The sequence below is a fragment of the Homo sapiens genome, chromosome 1, assembly GCF_000001405.40.
Source record: "Homo sapiens chromosome 1, GRCh38.p14 Primary Assembly".
Lineage (NCBI taxonomy): Eukaryota > Metazoa > Chordata > Mammalia > Primates > Hominidae > Homo > Homo sapiens.
In genome coordinates, this window is record NC_000001.11 from 100,335,591 (window position 1) to 100,361,455 (window position 25,865).

General features: G+C 42.1%; 1 protein-coding gene across 6 annotated transcripts in view, besides 6 other annotated features; it reads left to right on the plus strand.

The window, feature by feature from the left end:
* Window positions 9,411-25,865, plus strand: part of CDC14A (cell division cycle 14A) — a 175,277-nt gene continuing 158,822 nt past the window's right edge. For 5 of the 6 annotated variants that reach the window (NM_001319210.2, NM_003672.4, NM_033312.3 and 2 more), the window contains exons 1-2: window positions 16,916-17,413; window positions 18,172-18,262. In NM_001319210.2, the coding sequence (NP_001306139.1) occupies window positions 17,365-17,413; window positions 18,172-18,262 (140 nt within the window). In that variant the 5' untranslated portion in view covers window positions 16,916-17,364. Of the gene's footprint in view, window positions 9,594-16,915; window positions 17,414-18,171; window positions 18,263-25,865 lie in introns of those variants that run through there. The other variant, NM_001319211.2, reaches the window with a different exon arrangement.
* Window positions 15,673-16,102: an enhancer, noted in NCBI's record as "active region_1379". NCBI's record gives its function as "activates an Ori minimal core promoter by ATAC-STARR-seq in GM12878 lymphoblastoid cells {active_cell/tissue: GM12878}" and the evidence as "EXISTENCE:reporter gene assay evidence [ECO:0000049][PMID:35858748]".
* Window positions 16,143-16,192: an enhancer, noted in NCBI's record as "active region_1380". NCBI's record gives its function as "activates an Ori minimal core promoter by ATAC-STARR-seq in GM12878 lymphoblastoid cells {active_cell/tissue: GM12878}" and the evidence as "EXISTENCE:reporter gene assay evidence [ECO:0000049][PMID:35858748]".
* Window positions 16,693-16,782: a silencer, noted in NCBI's record as "silent region_1119". NCBI's record gives its function as "represses an Ori minimal core promoter by ATAC-STARR-seq in GM12878 lymphoblastoid cells {active_cell/tissue: GM12878}" and the evidence as "EXISTENCE:reporter gene assay evidence [ECO:0000049][PMID:35858748]".
* Window positions 16,813-16,862: a silencer, noted in NCBI's record as "silent region_1120". NCBI's record gives its function as "represses an Ori minimal core promoter by ATAC-STARR-seq in GM12878 lymphoblastoid cells {active_cell/tissue: GM12878}" and the evidence as "EXISTENCE:reporter gene assay evidence [ECO:0000049][PMID:35858748]".
* Window positions 17,443-17,752: an enhancer, noted in NCBI's record as "active region_1381". NCBI's record gives its function as "activates an Ori minimal core promoter by ATAC-STARR-seq in GM12878 lymphoblastoid cells {active_cell/tissue: GM12878}" and the evidence as "EXISTENCE:reporter gene assay evidence [ECO:0000049][PMID:35858748]".
* Window positions 17,793-18,042: an enhancer, noted in NCBI's record as "active region_1382". NCBI's record gives its function as "activates an Ori minimal core promoter by ATAC-STARR-seq in GM12878 lymphoblastoid cells {active_cell/tissue: GM12878}" and the evidence as "EXISTENCE:reporter gene assay evidence [ECO:0000049][PMID:35858748]".

The following is a 25,865-nucleotide window of genomic DNA, read 5'->3' on the forward strand; positions in this document are numbered from 1 at the left end:
GAGTTGGTGGATAAATATCACAGCTCCTGTGGGGATAGTTCTTAGGCTCGTGGTTTTATATCACACCAAGCCAGTGGTAGCTAGGCTCAAGGACACACCCTCTATTAGTTGCCTTCACTTCCTTGCCCCATTTCTTCACTTCCCAGATGGTTTCCTTGTACATCCCAAATAAATTACTTGCACTTGAATTCTTGTTTCAAAATCTGCTTCTTGGGGAAGCAGATTTAAATTAATTTAAATCTTAATTTAATTTAAATTAAATTAAGACACTGTGTATTTAGGTTTAATCTAAAACTTAATAAAGCTCAAATGCACCATGCTACACAATAAATACTTTCAGTTTATAATTAGCATATTTGCAGTTAAAGGCCCCTTCTTAAATAATTTTGGGCAAATGCAACAAAGTCTTTAGAAAATGGAAAGACTCAGAAAGCTTCCTTTTGCAAGTAATTCCTAGGCTTCTTTTCTTTTTCTACCTGTGATAAATAAGAAATATGTGTTTGATCTTTGTCCCCAGTTCCTGACATGGAACTTCTAAAACCCTTGGAATTTCCTGAATGATAGGGGCGATAGTGTTACTATAGGTAGGCAGACAAGAGCAGGGCATGAGACCTCCCTACCCACCGCCCAACCAGGAACATCAGGTGACCATCAGATGATGGTCATGCAGTTGATAACTTTCTCTCTAAATAATCATTGATTGTAGCCAGCGCCAGGGAAAGGCAGTCTCTCAATAGATAGGAAACACCTGAAACTAGTGATTAGCTGCTTCCAGGTAAGATCTCAGAAGTTGGGTGGGTGGGCTCAAGCATGCACTTTAAGAGGCAAAATGGTGGAGTTTAAGCCCTCGACTGCTAAGGGAAAAATGCTTCAAATGAGCATGTGCACAATGTCAGTAAACACTGTGTGCATGCGGCCCCTCCCTACTGCTGGCAGGCCATTGTGCATGCGGACAGCCCACCCCAAGGGAAGAATCAGGGGAGAAGGATGCAACCCTCAGAAGCATGTCATCATATAAGACCCCAAGCCAAACATCAAACAGGGCATGGTGTTTGACTCTCTCATGTCGCCCACTTGGCCCTCTTCCAAATGTACTTTACTTTCTTTCATTCCTGCCTAAAACTTTTTAATAAACTTTCACTCCTGCTCTAAAACTTATCTTGGTCCCTCACTCTGCCTTATGCCCCCTTGGTCAAATTCTTTCTTCTGAGAAGGCAAGAATTGAGATTGCTATCTACCTGTATGAATTTGCTACCAGTAACATGCTTTGTTCCCGCAAGACTTGGATATGCTCCCTAGTGGTAAAAATAGGAGCATCTTTTGTTATTCATAATAAGCCTCTTCCAACCATACTAAGGTAACTTTTGGGGGACCCCTCAATAGCTTCAGGATAGGGGCTGGTTGTCAGAGCAACTAACCTTGTGAAACTTTCAGCCCCACCTCAGGACTTCTGGGGAGGAGAGAGAGAGGAGCTGGAGACAGAGTTCTATCACCGATGACCAGTGATTTATCAACCATGCCTACATAGTGGAACTGCCATAAAAACCCCTAAATGACAAAGTTTGAAGAGCTTCTGAGTTGGTGAACACATGAAGATGCTGAGAGGGTGGTGTGCACACAGGGCATGGAAGCTTTGTGCCCCTTCCTCCATACCTTTCCCTATGCCTCTTCCATTTGGCTATTCCTGATTTGAGTTCTTCATAATAAATTGGTAATTGTAAGTAAAATACTTTCCTGAGTTTGGTGGCCATTCTAGCAAATTACTGAATCTGAGGAAGGGGTTGTGGAAAACTCTGACTTATGGGTGATAGGTAATGGTGATGAAAAGAGTAAAATTCTGGAAAATATTTGAAGAGATTTATTCTGAGCCAAATCTGAGGACCAGGACCCATGCCATAGCCCCAGGGAGGTCCTGAGAACACGTGCCTGAGGTGGTCAGACTATAGCTTGGTTTTATATGTTTTAGGGAGATGTAAAACTTCAATCAATACATGTAAGATGTACATTGGTTTGGTCTGGAAACGCGGGGCAACTTGTAGGGAGAGGGATGTCCTAGGTCATAGGCAGATTCAAAGATTGCCTGATTGGCAATTGGTCGAAAAAGTTAAGTTATTATCTAAAGACTTGGAATCAGGATGGGCGCAGTGACTCATGCCTGTAATCCCAGCACTTTGGAAAGCCGAGGTGGGCGGATCACCTGAGATTGGGACGAGACCATCCTGACCAACATGGAGAAGCCCCATCTCTACTAAGAATACAAAATTAGCTGGGTGTGGTGGCACATGACTGTAATCCTAGCTACTGGGGAGACTGAGGCAGGAGAATCACTTCAACCCGGGAGGCGGAGGTTGCGGTGAGCCAAGATCGCGCCATTGCACTCCAGCCTGGGCAACAAGAATGACACTCCACCTCAAAAAAAAAAAAAAAAAAAAAAAAGGACCTGGAATCAATAGAAAGGAATGAAAGAGTGTCTGGGTTAAGATAAGGGCTTGTGGAGAACAAGGTTTTTGTCATGTAGAGGAAGCCTCCAGGTAGCAGGCTTCAGAGAGATTAGATTGTAAATGTTTTTTTTATCAGACTTAAAAAAGGTGCCAGACTCTTAGTTAATTCTCTCCTGGATCAGGGAAAAGACCTGGAAAGGGGGAGAGGATTCTCTACAGAAAGTAGATTTTCCCCACAATAGACAGCTTTGCAGGGCCATTTCAAAATATGTCAAAGAAATATATCTGGGGGTAAAATACTTTGATTCCTTTCAAGGTTAGCTATCTGTCATGTTGGTATCTTATTGCTACAAGAGTCTATTCGGTCAATCTTTAGGTCTCTGTTTCAATGTTAATACTGGTCAGTTGTACCTGAATTCTAAAGGGAGGAGGGTATAATGAGGCATGTTTGGACCCCTCCTTTGCCATCACAGCCTGATCTAGTTTTTCAGGTTAACTATGGAATGACTTTGGGTGAGAGGAGGGGTCCATTCAGTTTGTTGGGGGGCTTAGAATTTTACTTTTGGTAACCTGGGAACTTGCAACTGGCATCTGAAGTGACACAGTCTTGTGGTACTGAAGTTTTAACTTGTGAGATCTGATGCTAACTCCATGTAAATAGTGTCAGGTAACTCCAGGTAACTTCTGTGCTCACGCCAACTGGGTGTCCTACAATTAAGTTGAACTGTAGGAAACCCAATTGATGTGGGCAGAGAATTGGAGAATTGTTTGGTATGGAAAATTCCTACACATTTGATGTTGGAAATGTGAGTAGAAACAGTAGAGAACTACCAAAAACTAAATTATTTTTAAAAGCACATTTTTTCTGGCATTTTGATGGCATTAGCACACTATGAGCATTGCTGAATATGAGGATGAGAGCGAAAGTCTGATTTCATGCCAGGTATGTTAAATTTTGCATCTGTAATCTCTAATCAAATAAAGTCTAGGAAATTATTAATTACACAGTAATGCTTAGGGCTCATAAGTGATTTTCTTTTAAAAATACTTTATGAATGCTAATTATGCAACCTAGGATCTGTAAGGTAGACAGATTATTTTATGGTCAGAGTAGTTATTTAACTTCTCTTGAGAGACTGATTTCTCCCAATACAACACACTCAATTACTATTAAAATATGAAACTTCTTTATAAGTAGATAAGGATTACTGAATATTCCCTCTTTAATGTAGCTAAAGATATACTTCCCTTTTTCTACTCCTATAGAACCTAAAAATGTTACACTGTACTTCCAAAATTACTTGAGAGGCTGAGAATGGTGGCTCAAGCCTGTAATCCCAGCACTGTCCAGGTGGGAGGATTGCTTGAGCCCAGGAGTTTGAGACCAGTCTGGGTAAGAACAGCCAGGGCAACATAGCAAGACGCTGTGTCTACAAAAAATTAAAAAAAAAAATCAGCTGGGTGCAGTGGCATGTGCCTGTAGTTCCAGGTACTTGGGGGGCTGAGGTGGGAGGATCACTTGATCCCAGGAGGTGGAGGTTGCAATGAGCCGAGACTGCGCCACAGCACTCCAACCTGGGTGACAGAGCAAGACTCCATCTCAAGAAAATAAAAATAAAAATAAATAAATAAAAATTACTTGAGAGACAGCCCATTAAACTTGCAGAGAATCTTGCACCAGGAGTTAGGTCTTGATATTTTATCACCTCTGTGTCTCAGTGTGTCAGTTTTGGTGTCTTTTGAGAAAAGAAAGCTCGTTTGGAGCTGCTGCTTATCATTTTCTTTTAAGAATACCTCTTTCTTGTCCTTGCGATAGTTTGCTGAGAATGATGGTTTCCAGCTTCATCTATGTCCCTAAAAAGGACATGAACTCATCATTTTTTATGGCTGCATAGTATTCCGTGGTGTATATGTGCCACATTTTCTTAATCCAGTCTATCATTGTTGGACATTTGGCTTGGTTCCAAGTCTTTGCTATTGTGAATAGTGCTGCAATAAACATACGTGTGCATGTGTCAAACAAAACACTGCATGTTCTCACTCATAGGTGGGAATTGAACAATGAGAACACATGGACACAGGAAGGGGAACGTCACACACCGGGGCCTGTTGTTGGGTGGGGAGAGAGGGGAGGGATAGCATTAGGAGATATACCTAATGTTAAATGACGAGTTAATGGGAGCAGCACACCAACATGGCACATGTATACATATGTAACTAACCTGCACGTTGTGCACATGTACCCTAAAACTTAAAGTATAATAATAAAAAAAAGAATACCTCTTTCTTTATCCACATCAAAAATACCTTTTTCTTTACCTACATTTTAAGATGTTGATATTCTCCATGGCTAATTCTAGTTTTCTTCATCTCTCATTTCATACTCTCTTCCTTGGAGAAAATTTTTATTCGGAAGAGATAGACACAATGTTTACTAGGTTCTGAATACTGACCTAAACACTTCACAAACAAACTGGTTTCATTTTTATGGTGTTATGAGGTAGATACTCTTATTATCCTCATTTTATAGACTAGGAAAATGAGGCACAGAGAGGTTAGTCATTTGTCCAAGTTCTCATAAGCAGTAAGTGGAGGGATCAGGACTTGGACTCAGTCTGTCTCTAGAGGACATGCTCTTCATCACCTCACTATGCTTATCTTGTCTTTTCCGCAATGTAGATTGAGCCTAACCTTTGGAGAATCTGAAACTTGTCAGTCAAGCCCATCTGCCTCTCCTGAGCATGAAATCTATACATTAAAGTGCTTAACATGTATTTTCATCTCATTGTCCAGCAGATACTTCAAATTCTAGATAGTACAACTGAGTTCATTTTTCCTCCCATGAATAGCCTGCACTTCTGTTTTAGAAAATGGCATCACCAGCCGGTCAGTGAAAGAGTTACAATTCTAGGAGTTATCTTTGGCTCTTCATTTCCCCCTCAACTTTTACCTACATCTGTTTTGCCTATCCTGTCAATTGTATTTCCTACAGATGTCTTGAATTTGGCCTTCTATGCCTATTGTCATCTACCCTTATCATTTTTTTCCTGAATGACCAAGTAGCAGGGGTTCCAGTTTGTGCATAAACCATGCCCACCATTGTAATTCATACATAGTTGGTTACAACTGATGAACTGGCAAAGAAGCCCCTCTGTTTTAGTCTATTTTGTGTTGCTATAGTAGAATACTTGGCTCTGGGTAATTTATAAAGAACAGAGATTTATTTCTTATAGTCCTGAAGGCTGGGAAGTCCAAGGGCAAGGGTCTCCTTGCTGCATCATCCCATGGTGAAAAGTAGAAGGAGAAAGACAGCATGACAGAGAGAGAGAAAGAACTAACTCATCTTTTCATCAAGAACTGTAGTCGTCCGTCCTCACACTGCTGTAAAGACTGGATAATTTATGAAGAAACGAGGTTTAATTGACTCACAGTTCCACAGGCTTAACAGGAATAATGACTGGGAGGCCTCAGGAAACTTACAATCATGGTGGAAAGGAGAGGAAGCAAGTACGTTCTTCACATGACAGCATGTGTGTCTGGGTTCACAAGGCCCCAGCATTCAGAGTTGGGGATGTGTAAGGCAAGGCAGGAGAGGCAGCTAGACTTGGCAATGACTTCATATCACAGACCAACCATAGGCAGTGGACACCTAGGTAACTCTTCAACCTTCTTGAAATTATGAAGGGAAGAACTGACTAAAATAAATAACCCCTCCCCACTGACCTTTAAAGGACCTAACAGTGGAAGAATTCCAACTGGACCACAGTTCTTGAGACCTACCTGCAGATCAAAACACAAATGAAAGTTTTGCAGCTCTTCACTATTGCAGAGGTTCAGGGGAAGGGATGATGTTTGCCAAGCAGATAAAATTAGAAGAATTCAGGATACAATATGAAGGCAGAGAGGCAAGTCATGTGGATTGACTGGATGTGGCGGTTAGATTAAAGGTGACTTTTTTTGTTTTTTGAGATGGAATCTCGCTCTGTCACCCAGGCTGGAGTGTACTGGTGTGATCTCAGCTCGCTGCAACCTCTGCCTCCTAGATTCAAATGACTCTTCTGCTTTAGCCTCCAAGTATCTGGGATTACAAGCACGCACCACCATGCCTGGCTAATTTGTGTACTTTTAATAGAGACGGGTTTCGCCATGTTGGCCAGGCTGGTCTCGAACTCCTGACCTCCAGTGATCCACCCAGCTCAGCCTCCCAAAGTGCTGGGATTATAGGCGTGAGCCACTGTGCCCGGCCAAAGGTGACTTTTAACTTGGAGTTGGCTTAAGCAATTGGATGAATGATGGTAGTATGTACTGACCTGGCTAAGTCTGGAGGAGGAAGAGGTTTAGGGACAGAAATCAAAGTTCTGACCAGGAACAGTTAAAGTGATAGGAAAGAATTAGCTTGGAAAATCAGCGGTCTTCTTGTCAAATTTTATGTGTGTGTGTGTCTTCCTGCCAGCAAGCGGGTAATATTTGGTTAATGATGCTCCATGAACTAAAGTCACTTTCAGAGAAATGCTTTAAATGGCAGTGATGAGCTAAAGTCCATCAGGAAAACCTGACTAAGCAAACTGTCCCAGAGCACCAGGAAAGGCACCATGATACATAGACAGATAGAGCTTGTTAGATAAGAATTATATCTCCACACTGGTGAATGGTTTTTCACTTAAGAGGAGATGAGCAAGGCTGGGATTGGCTGCCCCTGTGGGGACCCAGGGCACATGTCATGTAGTGCTGGTCTGATTTTTTTTCTTTTTATTCCATATACCTTAAGGACCATTAACTTGCCCTCTACAATGTAAAATAATCAAATCATTCACATTAATTTATTATTTCTAAAAGTTTTTAAAGAAGGTTTTTAGAAATCAAGTTCTTACATATGCCAAATTACTTTTGTTAGTTAATTATAATATATTTTTAAAGTGTAATTCTTTTTCTTTTTTTTTTTCTTTCGAGACGGAGTTTCACTCTTGTTGCCCAGGCTGGAGTGCAATGGCGCAGTCTTGGCTCACTGCAACCTCTGCCTCCTGGGTTCAAGTGATTCTCCTGCCTCAGCCTCCCTAGTAGCTGGGATTACAGGTGCCTGTCATCACGCCCGGCTAATTTTTGTATTTTTAGTAGGGACAGTGTTTCGCCATTTTGGCCAGGCTGGTCTCCAACTCCTGACATCAGGTGATCCACCTGCCTTGGCCTCCCAAAGTGCTGGGATTACAGGCATGAGCCACCATGCCCGGCCTAAAGTGTAATTCTTATATATTCTATTTTTTACATTTGCTTAGGGTCCTTTTACTCAAAATAGTTACAATTTAGAAGTTATCTATATTATCTTATCTACATTTATCACCAACACAGGCAAATTAAATTTCAGGAATCTAAGACAATTCTTCCCATTAAGTACTTAATCATGTTCTGCAAAAACCAGGCAAGTTGTATTTTGTCTTTTTAATGGTGAGAGGTAAAAAGAAAGAATGAAACATGCTATTGTGGGCGTTTGTCTACATTCCCATTATAATTCTGATTTTGGGGGGATTCATGGAGTAAAGTCCAATCTATTTACAATTAGTTAAACAATTTTGCAGACTCTTTCTGTCAATTTTTAAAATCCCAGCCTGGGGATTTTAGGCTTTTCCTCATTAATGTACAGTTGACCCTTGAACAACATTGATTTGAACTGCACAGGTTCACTTGCACATGTATTATTTTCAGTAAATATAGGAAAATCTTTGGAGATTTGTGATAATTTGGAAAAATCTTGCTTTTCCTCTCGCCTACTTTATCATAAGAATACAACATATATATAACATATAGCATACAAAATCTGTGTTAATCACCTGTTTATGTTATGGACAAGGCTTCTGGTAAAAAGTAGGCTGTTAACTTTTAGTTGTATGTGGATATGCAACTGTGCTCCCAACCCCTGTGTTGTTTAAGGGTCAACTGTATTTCATTTTGGTGCCCCATTGCCCTCTGGATAAAGTCCAAATTTTTGGACTAACTTACCAAGATCTTTCTTCCTCTTCTCTTTTATACTCTGGGCTGGAGCCAAATGGAGCTGCTTCAAATCCTGAACTGGCCTTTCTCTCTACTGTTTCCTGGCCTATGTATAGACTGTTCCCTCCGCCTGGGGTTCTCTTGTGTGTCTTCCTCCTTCCACGTACCCTCCCGCCTTGCTCTCTCTACTATTTGGCTACCTCCCCCTAGCTAACTCCTATTCAACCTTCAAGTCTATACAAGGATTCTGCAGGGAACCCTTTCCTCATGCCTCAGGTCTGATGCAGCCCACACAGCCCTCTGCTCTGTGCTTACTTCAGCCTAGCATGTATCTTGCTTATGGAACCTGATTGCTCATCCATAACCCTTTCTAGAATGTAACTTCCTTAAGAATAGAACTCTGCCTTATTCTCAGTTGCAATCCTAGCACCTAGCACAGAGCCAGACAAATAGTAGATAGTAAATTTTTACTGAATGAATGAATACACAAATATAAAGAAAATGTATATTTGATATTATGGAAATAAAACATAGGTATGAAGAGAAATATTTTACCTAAAATACATATATTTTAGGGTAAGTAGACATTATTTTTGTGTGTTACATTATTCATATCACTGTTATCCTACATTAAGAAATACAGGTATATTACTTTAGATATCATTTGAAGAAAACATAGACTCCATGTAGGAAGGCTTGGTATGTGGAAGATATGAAGTGTGATTTTTTTTCTCCCATGGGAATCAATACAATTATTGATGTTAATAACAACAAGAACAACCATTAATAATATGTTCAATACATATGTAGTATTTTTGGTTGGAAAAATGGAAACCAAAGGTCTCCTGTTTATTGAAATTATAATTTTCTTCTAGAGTTTCTACACAGGACTAGGCATCAGAAAACATATGTTCCAAAAGTGTGTCAAGGGTCACCATGGAAACCACAGGGCACAACATTTGTGTCCCAGGCTTCTGGAACACTAAGGACCGAAAGAACGTGAGTGAGAGCAGGGGAATTTAGGAATCCATTGAGGATGCCTGAATGGGGTTGTTGGCCCTGATCACACTCTAGAGACAGGCATATCATCACAGGCAATCAGAAATGAAGAAGGACATTAACTTGTACCCTGTGGAATTGTCTTCAGTTGATAAAAAGGACTTCTCTGTGAGTGTATATTTTAATTATGCTGTTAGCTAGGAGTCAATTAAATTACAATACCTAGATCCAAATAGTCGTATTCATTTGAGACTTGTGAAAATTAGATTTTGGAAACAAGTTAGTAGTTCTTAATCTATGCTTAATATTAATAATATTTGTATTTATTAATATAAATGCTAGGCTGTATTTGTACAGCATCACATTTGTACACAGTGTCTAGCATCTCAGCATGACACTCTCATTTAATTTTACTGTTATTCTTGTGAGTTAGAAATTATTATAATTTCTATTTAATATCAGAAGAAACAGAGTCCAAAATAATGCATACAGTTGGTGGGAGAGAGATACCTGAAAACCAGGCTTCTGATTACAAATCCAGCATTTTTTCCACTACTCCAGGCTACAAAGTAACTGATTTATGAATCCAGATGATTCACATGAGTTCATCTCCTCACATTTTAATTACTCATTTATTTATACATTCTCCAAATACATACTGAGCATGTATTTTGTGTGTTTCCTCATTTATAAAATGGAAATAATAATATACCTACCTGATAGGCAACCAATGTAAGAACTGAGATGTAAATTGCTGTGCTTGGTTTTAAATGAAACCGAACTATTAACTACTATTATTTTCCTGCTAGAAATATGTAGAGTAGAAACATTATTAAATGTGCACATGGAAGTGAACATTCAAAACTTTAGATTACGGCTGGGGGTGGTGGCTCACGCCTGTAATCCCAGCACTTAGGGAGGCCGAGGTGGGCAGATCATGAGGTCAGGAGTTAGAGACCAGCCTGGCCAACATAGTGAAACCCTGTCTCTACTAAAAATACAAAAATTCACTGGGTGTGGGGGTGGGCACCTGTAATCCCAGCTACTCAGGAGGCTGAGGCAGGAGAATTGCTTGAGCCCAGGAGGCAGAGGTTGCAGTGAGCTGAGATTGTGCCACTGTACTTCCAGCCTGGGTGACAGAGCAAGACTCCATCTCAAAAACAAAACAAAACAAAACAAAACAAAAAAAACCTTTAGATTACAATGTGTAGCTCACTAATATTTCTCAGCATGGCTATGGTGGTGATGGCTGGAGAAGAGTGGTGTGGGGAATATTATCTATTTTTGGAGTAAAAATGTTCACTTATTTTTTCTGTAAAAAGAGTATGAATGGCGTGGGTGCGGTGGCTCCCACCTGCAATCTCAGCACTTTGGGAGGTCGAGGCAGGAGAAACTGGCTCTAGCCCAGAACCTCAAGACCAGCCTGGGCATCATAGTGGGACCCTGTCTCTACAAAAAATTAAACAATTAGCCAAATGCAGTGGCTCATGTCTGTAGTCTCAGCTACTCTGGAGCCTGAGATGGGGGAATCATTCAAGCTTAGGAGGTTGAGGTTGCAGTGACCTGTGATAGTGTCACTACACTCCAGCTTGGGTGACACAGCGAGACTCTGTCTCAAAAAAAAAAAAAAAAAAGTAGTAATGACAAATAAATATAGATGGATAAATTCTGTAAAATTTAAAAAATGTATTGAGTTGTTAACTTGTTTGTTAAGTATAGCAAACTGGACAATAAATTGACTACTCTGAAGTATATTGACCTCATGGAACTTTCTTTTACCTTCTAAAACTGCACCATTCTTTATTGACTGCATTAGTCAAGAAGGAGATGAATATTGAATTGACTTGTTTTACTTAATGTTCACTATACCAGTATTTCTTAAACTGTATTTTGTAGAATGCTGGTATACCATTCCATTAATAAATCACAGGGTTAGAAACAATTGAAATTTTTATAGAAGCCACACAAAAACAATAGCAATGGCAGATAATGCAACATCTTATATTGTTTCATTCGGAGATTATTTCAATATTTCCTCTAAATATCTTGAAGAAAATAGTTCTAGATATTATGCATACATTATTATTGACACTTTATGGCTAATGTGTAATAATCTATAAGTTAAACAATGTAATTTAAGCTCACTAGGGAAAAATTAAGAAAAGGTTGTTGATACTACAGCAAATAATGAATACTGGTCTTATTTCCACCAGCTATGTGAGTTTGGGAAATCAGTTACCTCCTTCTCTTTTTTTCTCTTTTATTTTGCCATATAACCTTTTATAAAGGAACTATTGTGTAGAAGCCTTGAGTGCTCATCCACTGCCTTCCACTCCTACCCCCATATTGGGCCTGTGCTAAATCCCTTGAGTTTGATGGAGTCTGTTTGAAAACTGGAACTAGCTGATCTCCCAGGTCCCTTCTGGTTTTTACTTCTTTGATTCTGGTTTGGAATTCTTAAACAGGCATTGGTGATTTGTCTGATACAGAATGTGGCTGGGTTAGGCTAAGGTCTTATCATTTGCGGGCAGACTTCTGGAACAGAACCGTTTATGAGTCATGCTATCTATTTTTGGTATTCTGGTTCTACTGTAATAACTTTTTTATTACATGTATTTTACTAAAAGCTGCTTAAAATTATTTTTGGGATCAAAAATTGTCAAAATATGTATATGAATAAATAATTCAAATTACCTTGAATTTCAAATTACTCAGTGGCACAGGTTTTTACTACGTTTCATACTTAATCTGAAAATTAATTTACAGAAAGAATTCAAAGTATGTATTCTATATTTTCTTTACGTTCTTTGGTAACTTTGTATCACTACTGAACAAACAACTAAAAGAGTATGTTCTAATGATACATTCTAATAAGAAATGATGATAATTTTAAAATAATACAATATGTAAACCACACAGCTGTCAGGCCTTTGACAATCTTGAGCTCATTTTTCCTTGCCCTCTTCCAGCAAGAAAGAATATTTTCCGCCAGGTGCAGTGGTTCATGCCTGTAATCCCAGCACTTTGGGAGGGCGAGGTGGGCGGATCACGAGGTCAAGAGATCGAGACCATCCTGGCCAATATGGCAAAACCCCGTCTCTACTAAAAATACAAAAATTAGTTGGGCATGGTGGTGCACGCCTGTAGTCCCAGCTACTTGGGAGGCTGAGGCAGGCAAATTGCTTGAACCCGGGAGGCAGAGGTTGCAGTGAGCCAAGATTGTGCCACTGCACTCCAGCCTGGGCAACAGAGCAAGACTCCATTTCAAAAAAAAAAAAAAAAAAAAGAATATTTTCCTTTTCTTGAAGCTAAATGATAAAATTTAATTCTTTTGTTTTTCATTTCTTTTGCTCACATCTGAATCTTCCATCCATTCTTTTTTCTTTCAGAACTGCTTACACCAGTTTAAATGATAAAATTTAATTCTTTTATGTTTTTCATTTCTTTTGCTCTCATCTGAATCTTCCATCCATTCTTTTTTCTTTTTTTAGAACTGGCCACACCAGTTTATCACTAGTCTGCATCCAGTTCTGGGACCCACTTAGTAAGCAATTGGACAAATGGGCAGAGACTGGACTGGAAAGTGAGGGGCTTGAAGCCATGTAATATAAGACAATGTAGAAGAAAATGGAGATATTTATCTGGGGAAGACTAAGGAGAAATGGAAGGTGTTCAAGGAAACTGCCTTTGCATTTTTGAAGAGCTGTCATGAGTAAGGGTGATCATAGGTCCTGCAGCCTCCAGGCAGAATTAGAACTAGTGGCTTTTGACATAATTTAGAGCTGCCTCCAGCAGTGAGTTTTCTAGAACTGCAGGTGCACAAGCACGGGTTGCAGGGTAGTTGAAGCAGTTTTCAAGCAATGGTTGAGGAGTTAGATTTAAATTTTGTCATTTTCAGGGCGAGTGCAGTGGCTCATATCTGTAATTCCAGCACTTTGGGATCCTGAGGCGGGCGGATTACTTGAGGTCAGCAGTTTGAGACCAGCCTGGCCAACATAGTGAAATCCTGTCTCTACCAAAAATATGAAAATTAACCGGCGTGGTGGCGCACATGCCTGTAGTCCCAGCTACTCTGGAGGCTGTGGCAGTAGAATCGCTTGAACCCGGGAGGTGGAGGTTGCAATGAGCCCAGATGGTGCCACTGCACTCCAGCCTGGGCTACAGAGCAAGACTCCGTCTAGAGAAAAAAAAAAAAGGCGTTGTTTTCAAACTCGACACTTTTTACACTTACCTGCTGAATTTCTGTGTGTAATATTACCTTCCTTTTGTGCAGTTGAGCGATATGTAAACTCTCTTAGTATTTCCTTTATATGTGAAACGCCTTTATTGTTTCTTAAAAGTCCATTCCTTAAGTTTATATCAAGTTTCGTGGTTGGAAAATTTTCTTCCATTATCTTCCCTTGTAGACTGTAAAAGTATGCCTTTATTATGAAACTACAACCAACAGGAACTTTGACCTCAGGATAACTGAGAGAATAAAGTGTTTTTATGATCTCATTAGAACCTTGGTATGTATTATACGTGTGCTGTGTGTGCATTATCTAGTTCATATTTTTCTTGTAGAATTTTCTATACCATTTAGAATGGCTTAGAGAGATTTGATTATACTGACACTTCCTTCCATGCAATTTTGTTGTTGTTTGTTTGAGACAGGGTCTCACTCTGTCACCCAGAGACACTGCACTGCTGGAGTGCAGTGGCATAATCACGTAATCACAGCTCACTGAAACCTCTGCCTCCCGGTTCAAGCCATTCTCCCGCCTCGGCCTCATGAGTAGCTGGGATTGCAGGTGCCCGCCACCACATCTGGCTAATTTTTTTTTGAGACGGGGTCTTTCTCTGTCGCCCAGGCTGGAGTGCCGTGGCACTATCTCGGCTCACTGCAACCTCCCGAGTAGCTGGGATTACAGGCGTGTGCCACCACACCCGGCTAAGTTTTGTATTTTTTTTTTTTTGAAACATAGTTTTGCTCGTCACCCAGGCTGTAGCACAATGATGCGATCTTGGCTCACTGCAACCTCCGCCTCCCAGGTTCAAGCCATTCTTCTGCCTCAGCCTCCCTAGTAGCTGGGATTACAGGTGTGTGCCACCATTCCTGGCTAATTTTTTTGTATTATTAGTAGAGTTGGGGGTTTCACCATGTTGGCCAGGCTGGTCTCGAACTCCTGCCCTCAGGTGATCCACCTGCCTCGGCCTCCCCAAGTGCTGGGATTACAGGCATGAGCCACCGCGCCCAGACAAGTTTTGTATTTTTTTAAGTAGAGGCAAGGTTTCGCCATGTTGGCCAGGATGGTCTTGAACTCCTGACCTCAGGTGATCCGCAGGCCTTGGCCTCCCAAAGTGCTGTAATTACAGGTGTGAGCCACCATGACCAGCCCCATGCAATATTTTAAAAAACATTAATTACTTACAGAGTTTTATTATCTTTGTAAAAATGCTAAGGAAAAATAAACATTTTCATTTGAATTTAAGGACTTGTATTTGTTAGGTCATAATTCATTCCTCATGATCACAATTTTAAGCAGGAGAGTTATATAAAAGATTTTTGTAAATTCATTTTGGAAAATAACAAGAAGGTGTTCAACTATATCTGGCTTCTCTGAAAGTGTAGATTGGAGTTCATTAGACTATTTACTTTGTGCAATTAAAAGTTTATGAACTGAATGAGAACTCTGACTTCTATTTCTAACGCACTTTTTAATGAAAAATTGTTGGGGAATTTGAATTTAGATTATGCAAGAATTTTAAATCAGCATCTTCGGAAATACAACAACATCTTTGGATTTATTTAGCCTTTTAAACAAAGTGGGCAAGTTTATCGAGAGATTCATATACTTTGTTTTTCCCTATCTTTCATATAAGAAATACTAGATTTTTTTTCAATAAAATAATTTGAGGCCTGGCGCGGTGGCTCAGCCTGTAATCCCAGCGCTGTGGCAGGCCAAGGCAGGGCGGATTGCTTGTGCTCAGGAACTGGAGACGAGCCTGGCCAACATGGCAAAACCCGGTCTCTACAAAAAATACAAAAATTAGCCGGGTGTGGTGGCGCACGCCTGTAGATCCAACTATTTGGGAGAATGAGGCACGAGAATCGCTTGTACTCGGGAGGTGGAGATTGCAGTGAGCAGAGATTGAGCCACCGCACTCCGGCCTGGGTGACAGAGCGAGACCCTGTCTAAAACAAAACACACATTAAAAAAAAAAAAACCACAAACAAAACCTGCAATTGGCCCTCGAAGGGCTGGTTCCCTCAGTCAGCTCTGCACGGGTGCGCCCCCTTTCTCCCTAGAGGTCAACAAGCGACTGCGAAGGAAAACGCCGCCACAAGTTTCTTGCTGTTTCTGGAGAGACCTCTCAGAGCGCATGCTCTTCGGATAGTCGGTCTGTAGCGCCATTTTCGTATGGAAGGGACTGCACTCTGATTAGGTACAGCCTTAGGACGCCCAGCGTTCAAGTTGTTCAAACAGTACGTAGAGCCTCGCAGAGACAAGTCAATGGCCTCTTTTAGCGGGACTCCTGCCTGGAGCGCTTCAGCTGAGACTATGTAAAGAAATTCCTTTGTGTTAACCTTCCTCCTTGGACCAGTGGACTCTCCTCTCTCTCCTGTTCCCTCCGCGCCCGCCCAGGCTGGCTCAGCGGTCTCGCCCCGCCCCTCCGGGACCGGAGCACTGTAAAGATTAGGCATCTGTGATGCTTTTGCGCTCACATTGGCGGCCCAGATGAGAGGGCGTGGAGAACCAGATGGGAAACTTTTTGTCCCGTGAGAACAAAGTACAAGTTATATCAGAGTCTGGTATGTGTAGAGGAAACCAATACATGTACTGTGAGCTAGGAGCTGGTGCTTCTTTTTCAATTGTATTTTTTATAAAGATGCAGACCCCCTCAGTGTTGGGCGTGGGGGGTGGCTGAAATGTTAGCTAGAGGCGAGGCAGGGCACGGAGATCTGAGGTTTTTACGAGTGTGTGTGTGTGTGTGTGTGTGTGTGTGTGCGCGCGCGCGCGCCCTACAAGAGTTTAGAAGAGCATGGGTGAGTGGGCGAGAAAGAAAGAGAATGAGAGAGAGAGAGAAAAGAAATCTGGAGTGGGACAAGACTTAGAGGGTGCAGAAAAGAAAGGGGGCGCCAGCACATCCTAGCCTCCGAGGCCGCGACAGCGCCTTTGGCGATGTCCACTCTCAACCCCGCCGTTTCATTCATAAGTTTCTGGCCTACAGGCCCCGCCCGCTCCCCTGGGCCGAGGGCCCCGTTTCCTGAACAGCAATTGGTGGACGGCAACAAAGCCTTAGCAACCGGCTCCTAGTGACCCGCGGGGCGCCTGGTAACTGGGGCTGCTGCGGAGAAAGGAGCGGGGCTGTCCCTTTAAGGGATGGCCGCGGAGTCGTGAAAGTGGAGGGGGCTGAGGGAGGGCGGGGAGGAAGGTCTGGGGGCGGACCCAGGGGGAGGAGGAGGAGGAAGAGTAACTGCTGAAAGGAGGTGGCGAAGGAGGATCCGGAGCAGCTGCTGCCAGCCCGCGGGCACTGAAGTCCTCCCGGCTGCCGCTCGAGTAGCCACGGGCGCGATCGGGACCAGAAGTCTCCTCCTCCATGATCACTTTGGAAGCCGGGGGAAGACTTTGCCCTGCCCTGAGAGCTGGTCTGCGTTTCCCAGGCGCGGCGGCGGCGGAGCAGCAGCTGCAGCAGCCGAGTCCAAATAGGAGCGGCCACAGCCAGGGGCGTGAGCGCCCCGCGCGGAGCGAGCTCGGGTTCCCCTCGGAATGTCCCCGGGGCGCCCGGCGCGCTGACCCCGAAGCCGCCTCCGCCTTCGGCGCCTGCTGCCTCCCTCGGCCAGGCTTGTTGTTCGGGACTGTGAGCTTCCTGGCTCCTGGGCAGTGGGGAAGCCCCCGGGGGCGAGTGACTTCAGCTGGCCACGACCCAGCCCTCCCCCGTGCGTATCTCGCTTAAGATGGCAGCGGAGTCAGGGGAACTAATCGGGGCTTGTGAGTTCATGAAAGGTGAGGAGCAGCCGCCCCGCATCTTCCAACGCTTTCTTGCCCCCAACTCTTCACTTCCCGCGCCACTGTCCCCACCTTCTCCTGAGGCTGCCAGTGTCCTGCAGCCGCTGCGCGCGCTCTCGTCCCCTCTAGGGACTCTCCTTTCTCCGAGGACCCCCTGCTTCCGGCTTCTCTTTCTTGTGTCCCTTGCTCCCTCTGCAGCTCCCTCGGATGGCCTCTCGGCCTCGTAATGGGACAGCACCGGCTTCTGCCCGTACTCCGGCACTCAGCAGCTCATGGGGAGCCTGCTCCGGATGCTCACCGGTCACCTTTACTCCACCATCGCAGGCTTCGGTTTTCGGGACACCCCCAACCACACCCCCCAAGTCTCTCTCCCTTCCTCTTTTTCAAATCTCCGAAGCTGCGTCGGGAGGCTCACCTCTTTCTTCCCCTTCTCGCAGCTGCTGAGGTCTGGAGATTTGGGAACCAAACTTGCACCTCCAGTTCTGCGGGTACCCCCAGCTCCTGCCTACTCTGCTGGCCTGAAACAAGGGAAATGTGGGTGCTCTGAGCCCCGCTGAGTTCCTCGGTCAGGTCCTCCTCTTGCCTAACTGTTGTGCTCTTGAGTCTCTAGCTTTCTGGGAGGGATGAGGTTTCTGCAAGAATTCCACGTGTTAATGGGGTCTTTAAATTGTGATCCTTCGTATGTTACCACCCACCTTCACTTCCACTTCTCTACTTCTCATATGTTTTTTCTGTCTTTTAAACTTGTCTTTCAGATCGGTTATATTTTGCTACTTTAAGGAATAGACCAAAAAGCACAGTAAATACCCACTATTTCTCCATCGATGAGGAGCTGGTCTATGAAAAGTAAGTTTATGTTTTGTTTTTTTTTCTCTTGGCCATTCAGCTTGTTCTTTGACGAGGAAACACTATGCACTTTTATGGCAGTTTTATTCATTTCCCCCCCAATGATACGAGTAACAATATCAATTTTTTAAGACTCAGGTGCCTGGGGAGAAGTTCAGAGAAAATTGACAGAATTTGAACCTTTCAACACTTCAGTTCTTTTAGACATCTATCTGTTTTAGTTCTTCCTACCACCACAACAAACAGCAACTGGAGATTCCTAACATTCCCCAGAGTAGGACCAGGGAGACACACTGTCATTGCCAGACTCAGTAATTGGCCTGTGAATCAGTCACTAAGTATTTATGGAGTGGCCATAGGGTACAGGGCAGTGCATGTATTACAGGTGCTTGAGCTTTATAGTTTACAAGACTTCTGTTCTATCTCAGGATGTTTTTGTTTGTGCAGCTCTTTTTCAGAAAGTGGGACACATTAACTGCGGGGAGCTGTATCAGAGTCACATTTATGACTAACATTTTATCTGACATATTATTGATTCTTTTATTTGGGTACCCCAAACTTTTTGATATTATTTTCTTTGCTTCTAAGGAAATGATATAGCAGTGCTGATTTATTTTCTTTGATTACTTTGCTTCTGTGGGATTAGGATTTGAGAGTGTAAAATAAAAGTAGGGAACTGTTTTCTGTGAAAGACCACTGATCTACAGGAAAAAGATATCTTAATACTTCAGGCATAGTAAAACATTAATTGAAGAGAGATAAATCTTTATTCAGTAAAAGTATCAGATAATAAGAAATAAGAAGGCTGAATTGACTTGGTTATGTACTTTTATGAAAAGAGCTGGTGTTTCAGAGGAGTCTAATATATTCTATTTTAAACGTTTAAATTACTTGTTATCTTTACCAAATGTGCAGATAAATGAACATAGTTAAATTAATCATAATTAGCTTCCTTGGACTTGTCTTGTTAGAAAGGTTATTGGCAGTTCTGCCTAAGGATTTGTGGGTACTACCAGGTCTTCGAAGAGTAAGTGTTCTGGACCTTCAAGAGCATATCTTTTATTTGGGGGAAAACAATCTTTGTCACTTCATCATAGAGGTTCTTGAAACTGAGGTCTGCGACATTTCTCTTAGTGGTGCTGGGAGGAGAATGCTTCTTGAATGGCTAAAGTAAGAGTGGGAATGAAAGAGCCCTTTGCTGCTGCTCATGAATGCCCAGAGTTGCTGAGGCAAAGAGGTCTGAGTCCCTGGTGTCAGATTACAGCTCTGCTTCTAGACAGGATGGAGTTATGTGCGGCTGTGTACCTGGATGATGTCACTGCCAGCAGTGTTTATTGAGTGTTCACTCTGTTGTTGGGAATGTGCATTGTTGTGCCTCTGTTTTTGTGATTTTAGGTTTTGGGGGTCTCTCATGAGTCTGAGAGTGGGGATGGTGTATATATCATTATGTTCAATTCTACAGTACAGTGGTTGTTAATATGTCATTGAATGAGCTCTAGCCATGGAGATCTGAGTCACTTCTCTTGGGATTGCTAGGTGGTAGATCTAGCAGAAAATTAAGCCAAACTAAACACTGTGCATGATGGCTTTTTGATTTTAATATTGATAGATGAGGGAAATTTTTAATGTGATTTTCATGTTGGTATTTTGGGATAGGCCTACAAATCATATTCCTCTTATAGTCTACTGTTTTTCTGGTATCTTATAAGGAAAGACTTGCTGGAGAATCCATCCAATTTATATTGTGAGTTGGGATTGACATTTGAAATACGATGAGGACTTCAGCCTGGGCAGAGTGTGTACTTTTCTTAGTTTGAACTTACCCTACTGTGCCACAGTAATGGCTGTGGCTCTGACACCTCCAACTCCATCTTTTTTGTTACCCCAACATATTACATGGTGCTAGGTGATGCAGAGAATAAAACAATGTTGAATGCATATGTTACCTTCAAAGAGCTCCAAGCCTGTAGGGAAAATAACAGAACTGCAGTTTGAGGTATAGGAAAGATACCTGCCCAAAGAGAAATACAACCTCTATGCTAGGAGAGGCATTCACAGGCAGGTAGGGGCACATCTGGTGGAAGCGTTCAGCAAAGGCTTCGTGGAAGAGTTAAGATTGGCTTGAAGGATGGACAAGGTCTTATCAGGCAGAGACATGAGAGGAGGGATCTTGGAAAACAGCAAGTGTGAGGAGGGGAGAGGCTTGGGACGTGTGTTCAGGGAACAGTAAGTCCTCCAGTTTGCCTGGTGTGTATTCAGGGAACATGTAGGGGATGGAGAATGTGAAATTGAGATGTTGGCTGGGGACAGAATGAATGTCAGGGTGAGAAACCTGCAGTTTCTTTGGTACACCATGGGACTCTTGAGGGATTTGGGGCAGCCATGGTATGACTTGATTTGTGCTAATTACAAACAATGGGAAACATTTATTGAGCATTTAAATGTGTGCCAGATGCTGTTCTAGGTGCTCTATAACTATTAATTCATTGTGTTTTCACAACAATTCTGTGAGACAGGCACTATTATCCTTATTGTACAAAAAGGCATAGAGAAGCTGGGTCACTTGCCCAAGGTCACAGAAGTAAAAGTAGCAGAGCTGGAGTTTGAAACCAAGTCATCTAGTTGCAGAGGACATATATCCTTCTCAAAAAATTAATACAGTAGCATCATTTAAGAGGGGTTGTTAAGGAGATAAGAGCCCACTTAAAAAAATTCAGGGGGGACCAGGCATAGTGGCTCACGCCTGTAATCACAGCACTTTGGGAGGCCGAGGCAGGTGGATCACGAGGCCAGGAGTTCAAGACCAGCCTGGCCAACATGTTGAAACCCCGTCTCTACTAAAAATACAAAAATTAGCTGGGCATGGTGGCGTGTTCCTATAATCCCAGCTACTTGGGAGGCTGAGGCAGGAGAATTGCTTGAACCAGGACCTGGTAGGTGGAGGTTGCAGTGAGCTGAGATTGCGCCACTGCACTCTAGCCTGGGCTACAGAGCAAGACTCTGTCTAAAAAAAAAAAAAAAAAAAAAAAAATTCAGGGGAAAGAAACAAGTACCTGGATTAGGATGGTGACAATGGTGATGGAAAGAAGCGATCTGAAGCCATGTGACCTGGCAACACAGGAGGGTGGCGTGGAGGGGTGCTGAGGAAAAAGAGGGATCAAAGAAGTCCTTAAGACAGCTTAGGTTGTGGTGAGCCTACTGGAGCTCTTAACTGAAATAAGGAAGGAGGGTGGAATAATTGGCTTTGGTGGGAAGATCAGGCATTCCATTTTGGCCAGATTGAATTTAAGAAATTTAAGGGATATTTACATCACTGTTAGATATCACATACATTTGAGGTTCTTAAATTTGGGAATTTTCCCAAAGAGACTAATAAAGCTGTGAGAATGATGCGATTTCTGGGAAGATAGAGAAGGTCTCAAGGTCTGTATTTCACAAGTAGAACCAGGATGGGAGGAGCAAGGGAAGGTGGAAGTACGCAACAAAGAGGTGGACAAACACTGAAGGGGAAAGGAGAAAGGGAGAAGGACTGACTCCATCTCGTCAGCTCCACTTTGGGGAAGTATAGAATGAGAGAGACTGCAAAGCCCCTAGAAGGATGTCTAGTAACCCGGGCTCTGTCTGGAGGACGTCCTACAGCGAGAAAGATTTTGACTATCACATCATAATGTGCATGTCTCTGAGGAGAAGAATATATTTATATTCATTATCACACAGGCCTTTGTACTGTGTAATTATTTGCTGAATGTTTAAATTAAATGCTGCTTTTCCAGCTGGGTGTGCTTGTAGTCCCAGCTACTCTTGAGGCTGAGGCGACAGGATTGCTTGAGGCCTGCAGTTGAACTGAAAAGCCAGCCTGCCAGCCTGAGCAACATAGTGAGACCCCATCTCTTAAAAAAAAAAAAAAAAGAAAGAAATGCTGCTTTTCTGGCTAAATTATCACCTTAGAAGCGATTGTTTTTGAATCAGGAAGTAGACTCTTTAAATATTAGGCTGTGGATATTCTGGCCACAGCTGTGTTTTGCGCAGATGTTTCTTTAGTTATGAAAGGAGGACAGCATTCCATGATTGAAATGTCAACCTTCTGAGATGCTGGTGGAGAAAATTTAATGAGGTGGCCTCATGAGGTAAGGCTATTAAAAGTGAACGTTTGAATTATCTGCTTGATTTTTTAAAACAGAACTTATTACTATAAAGGCCTGGGCAGCTTTAATAAAATGAGGATGATAAGAAATCATCCTTTGTCCTTGGGTTATGATTTCACAGGTCAGAGTTAAAATCAAAGTATAGGCTAACACACTAGTGGTACAAAAATAGCTCCACAAAAAGGGAGCCTTTCAAAGAAGATTTATCTGCATTTGATTAAGCTACAAATAACACACCACTCCCTGGAAAGGCTTGTTCTTTGGTATTGGAATTGGGCCCCGTAATCCAAACAGGCGCTTACTTTTAATAACTTGGCTTACTTTTGTGTGGCTAAAAAGTTAGTGAAATGAAATATATTACTTGTTATGACATCTGTGTGCCCCTCCTAGTGGTGGTCATGGGTGTAGGGTTGGATGTTCATGGCATAGAAAGCCAGTTTGCTGGGAAGGATAGTGTATAGGGTCTTCATTTTCAGCCTGTCCATTGTCATTTCTTCTCTTTTTGAGTTGTGAAGAAAGGTATTGAAAGTGCAGGAAAGAGCTCTTTAGGGAGAAACTCTAGGGACTGAATTTTAAGCAGTTTCTGAAGTGACTTGAAGAATTTCACCAAATGTTTTAGCATGTTAAGAATGAGCAGCCTCTAATGAGAACTAATTAGCTAAATGGAAGATTTAAATAATTTAAAACATTCAATTTTCATTTAAACTTAATTAAAGCAGCCTGATATTAATGCATCCAGGAAGTTTTGGATAAGTAATTTATAGAAAAATGATTTCTTTTATCTTGTCTATAGCATAGTTTTGAGTCAAAATGTGAACATAGAATATTTATGAGAGAAGCATGGAAAAACTACTCTTGCCTAGAAATATTTGTGGGAATGCATATTTAGGTTAGAGGTAGGTCAGGAGAAACCCTTTTGGTTTTTAAATTTTTATTTCAAATTAAATGTATAGCAAGTAGGATAATTTAATGGAAGGTTGAATGCCACTTAAGCATATACACACATACACATATATATGATCTGATAGAGCCTTACGGTCATCATTTAGAACCTCAATTCTCATTATAAATTGCTATGATATAGACAGAAGAGGAGATTTGGTTGAACCTCGAGACAAATTTCATTGTGGGAATAATAATAAAGCCATAGCAACAACAACAGCAGCAGCAGCAGCAGCTAACATGTATAGCCCTGTGCCAGGCAGTGTTCTAAGTGGTTTACACGCACACATTAACTCAATTAATCCTCAGAACAAGCCTAGGAGTTAGATGCTGTTATTATCACTACTTAACAAAGGAGGAAGTAGAGGTCCAGAGAGGGAAGTATATTGCCTAAGGTCACTGAGCTGGTAAGGCAGAGCAGGGATGCAAGCCAGAGGCAGTCCACCCTGGAGTCCAGGCATTTCCCAGTTGGCCTGAGACTGATGCCAATGGGGAGGGTATGGGACAACTTTGCCCCTTCCTGACAGACTTGATCCCTCTAACTTGGGTGGTGATGGCTCTTGGGGGAAATGTGCCACTGACAGTATATGCACAAACTATGACCAGCTCCTATCTGGGAATGTGTGGTGGTAATTTAAACATTTTTCTTTGTAATTTCACTTTTGGGGGGTATAATTTTGCCTTTTTTTTCCTATCAGTGCACTACCAAAAAGAAAGAGAGGAAAGAAATTGAGTTAATTGTAGGACACGTGAAAACGAAAGAAGCCCAGTTTTTATAAGCCTATGATAACTGCTTTTGTAGGCTGTCTGGTGAAATGTTCTGGCTGCTTACCTGGTGTAACTTAAGGTGATTTTTTTTTTTAAGGTATTCTCCAAAAAAAACCCTCAGAAAACTGTTTACTTTCTAAAAGATGGTAGTTTATAGTTTCTTCCCCCCTTTTTCTTCTCTTCATCCAAACCTTGGAAAAGTAATATTGTTCAGGGCTGCTTTTTTTCACCTTCTTCTTTTTTTTTTTTTTTTTGAGTTGGAGTTTCCTTCTGTTGCCAGGCTGGAGTGCAGTGGTGCGATCTCAGCTCACTGTAACCTCCGCCTCCTGGGTTCAACCGATTCTCGTGCCTCAGCCTCCTGAGTAGCTGGGATTACAGGCGCGCACCACCACACCCAGCTATTTTTTTTTTTTTTTTTTGTATTTTTAGTAGAGACGAGGTTTCACCATGTTGGCCGGGTGGTCTTGATCTCCTGACCTCGTGATCTGCCTGCCTCGGCCTCCCAAAGTGCTAGGATTACAGGCATGAGCCACTGTGCCTAGCCTTTTTCACCTTCTGTTTTGAACACATGACAGCCAGTGTTATGATGTAGTATATGTTAAGAGGAAGTAGATATATCTGTGTACATTCATAGTTAGTTCTTTTTTTTTTTTTGAAACAGGGTCTTGCTCTGTCACCCAGACTGGAGTGCAGTGGGGCAATCTCGGCTCACTGCAACCTCCACCTCCGGGGTTCAAGCAATTCTCCCACCTCAGCCTCCCGAATAGCTGGGATTATGGGTGCATGCCACCATGCCTTGCTAATTTTTGTATTTTTTTGTAGAGACAGGGTTTCACCATGTTGACCAGGCTGGTCTCGAACTCCTGGCCTTAAGTGATCTGCCTGCCTCGGCCTCCCAAAGTGCTGGGATTACAGGTGTGAGCCACCGTGCCTGGCCCACAGTTCTTAATTCTGTAATCCAGGGGAATCAAATTTACCTTCTAGATAATGATTTATTTAAATATCTGCTGTTTTGACCTCTTAGGCATTCGGTGTAGAGTTGATCTCTAATCTTCATAATGATAAATTATTACTCTGTTTTTTCAGTTTGCTTGAGATAAGGCTGTGAAAACAAAAAATGTAGCCGAGGTGCTAAGGAGAGTTATCTTAACAGGGCTAGTCATAATCATGCAGCCTGAGAGAGAGCTCCAAGTGGGCTGCAGGAGATCCCAGTGGGGAGCTGTCAGCCTTCCAAGTTCTTTCTGTGCCAGGTCACCACAGGGCGGCTTCATTATTTTGTTTGAAGTAGATTCCTAAGACATCAGATGTTCTCATTTGTAAGTTCATAAACACATTCCCAAGCCAGAAGTAAATGACTTTTACTTAGCCACAGCTCAATACCCCTTTGTGCTTAAAAAAAAAAAAACAACAAAAAACAAAAAACAAAAAAACTAAAAACTAAAACACAAGCCTCACAAAACTCTTGACACATTTTTATGGGAAGTGAAAAGCATAACTTAAAACTTTCATAAGTGGTTGAAAATTGCTATACAAGAAACTTAGTATTTAGATGGGATAGATTTTGATGCAGAACACTGTACTAATGCTTTGGAGATATGTATTTGTAAAGAAGGAAGTAGAAACACATGCAGTACAGGATAATACATGACCAAAGCTGCAAATGTATGTGTTAGGAGTTCAAGAAAGGAAGAGATTATTGCTACCCAGGGTGATAAGCACTGAGCTAGTTTTTGAAGGGTGTATAATAG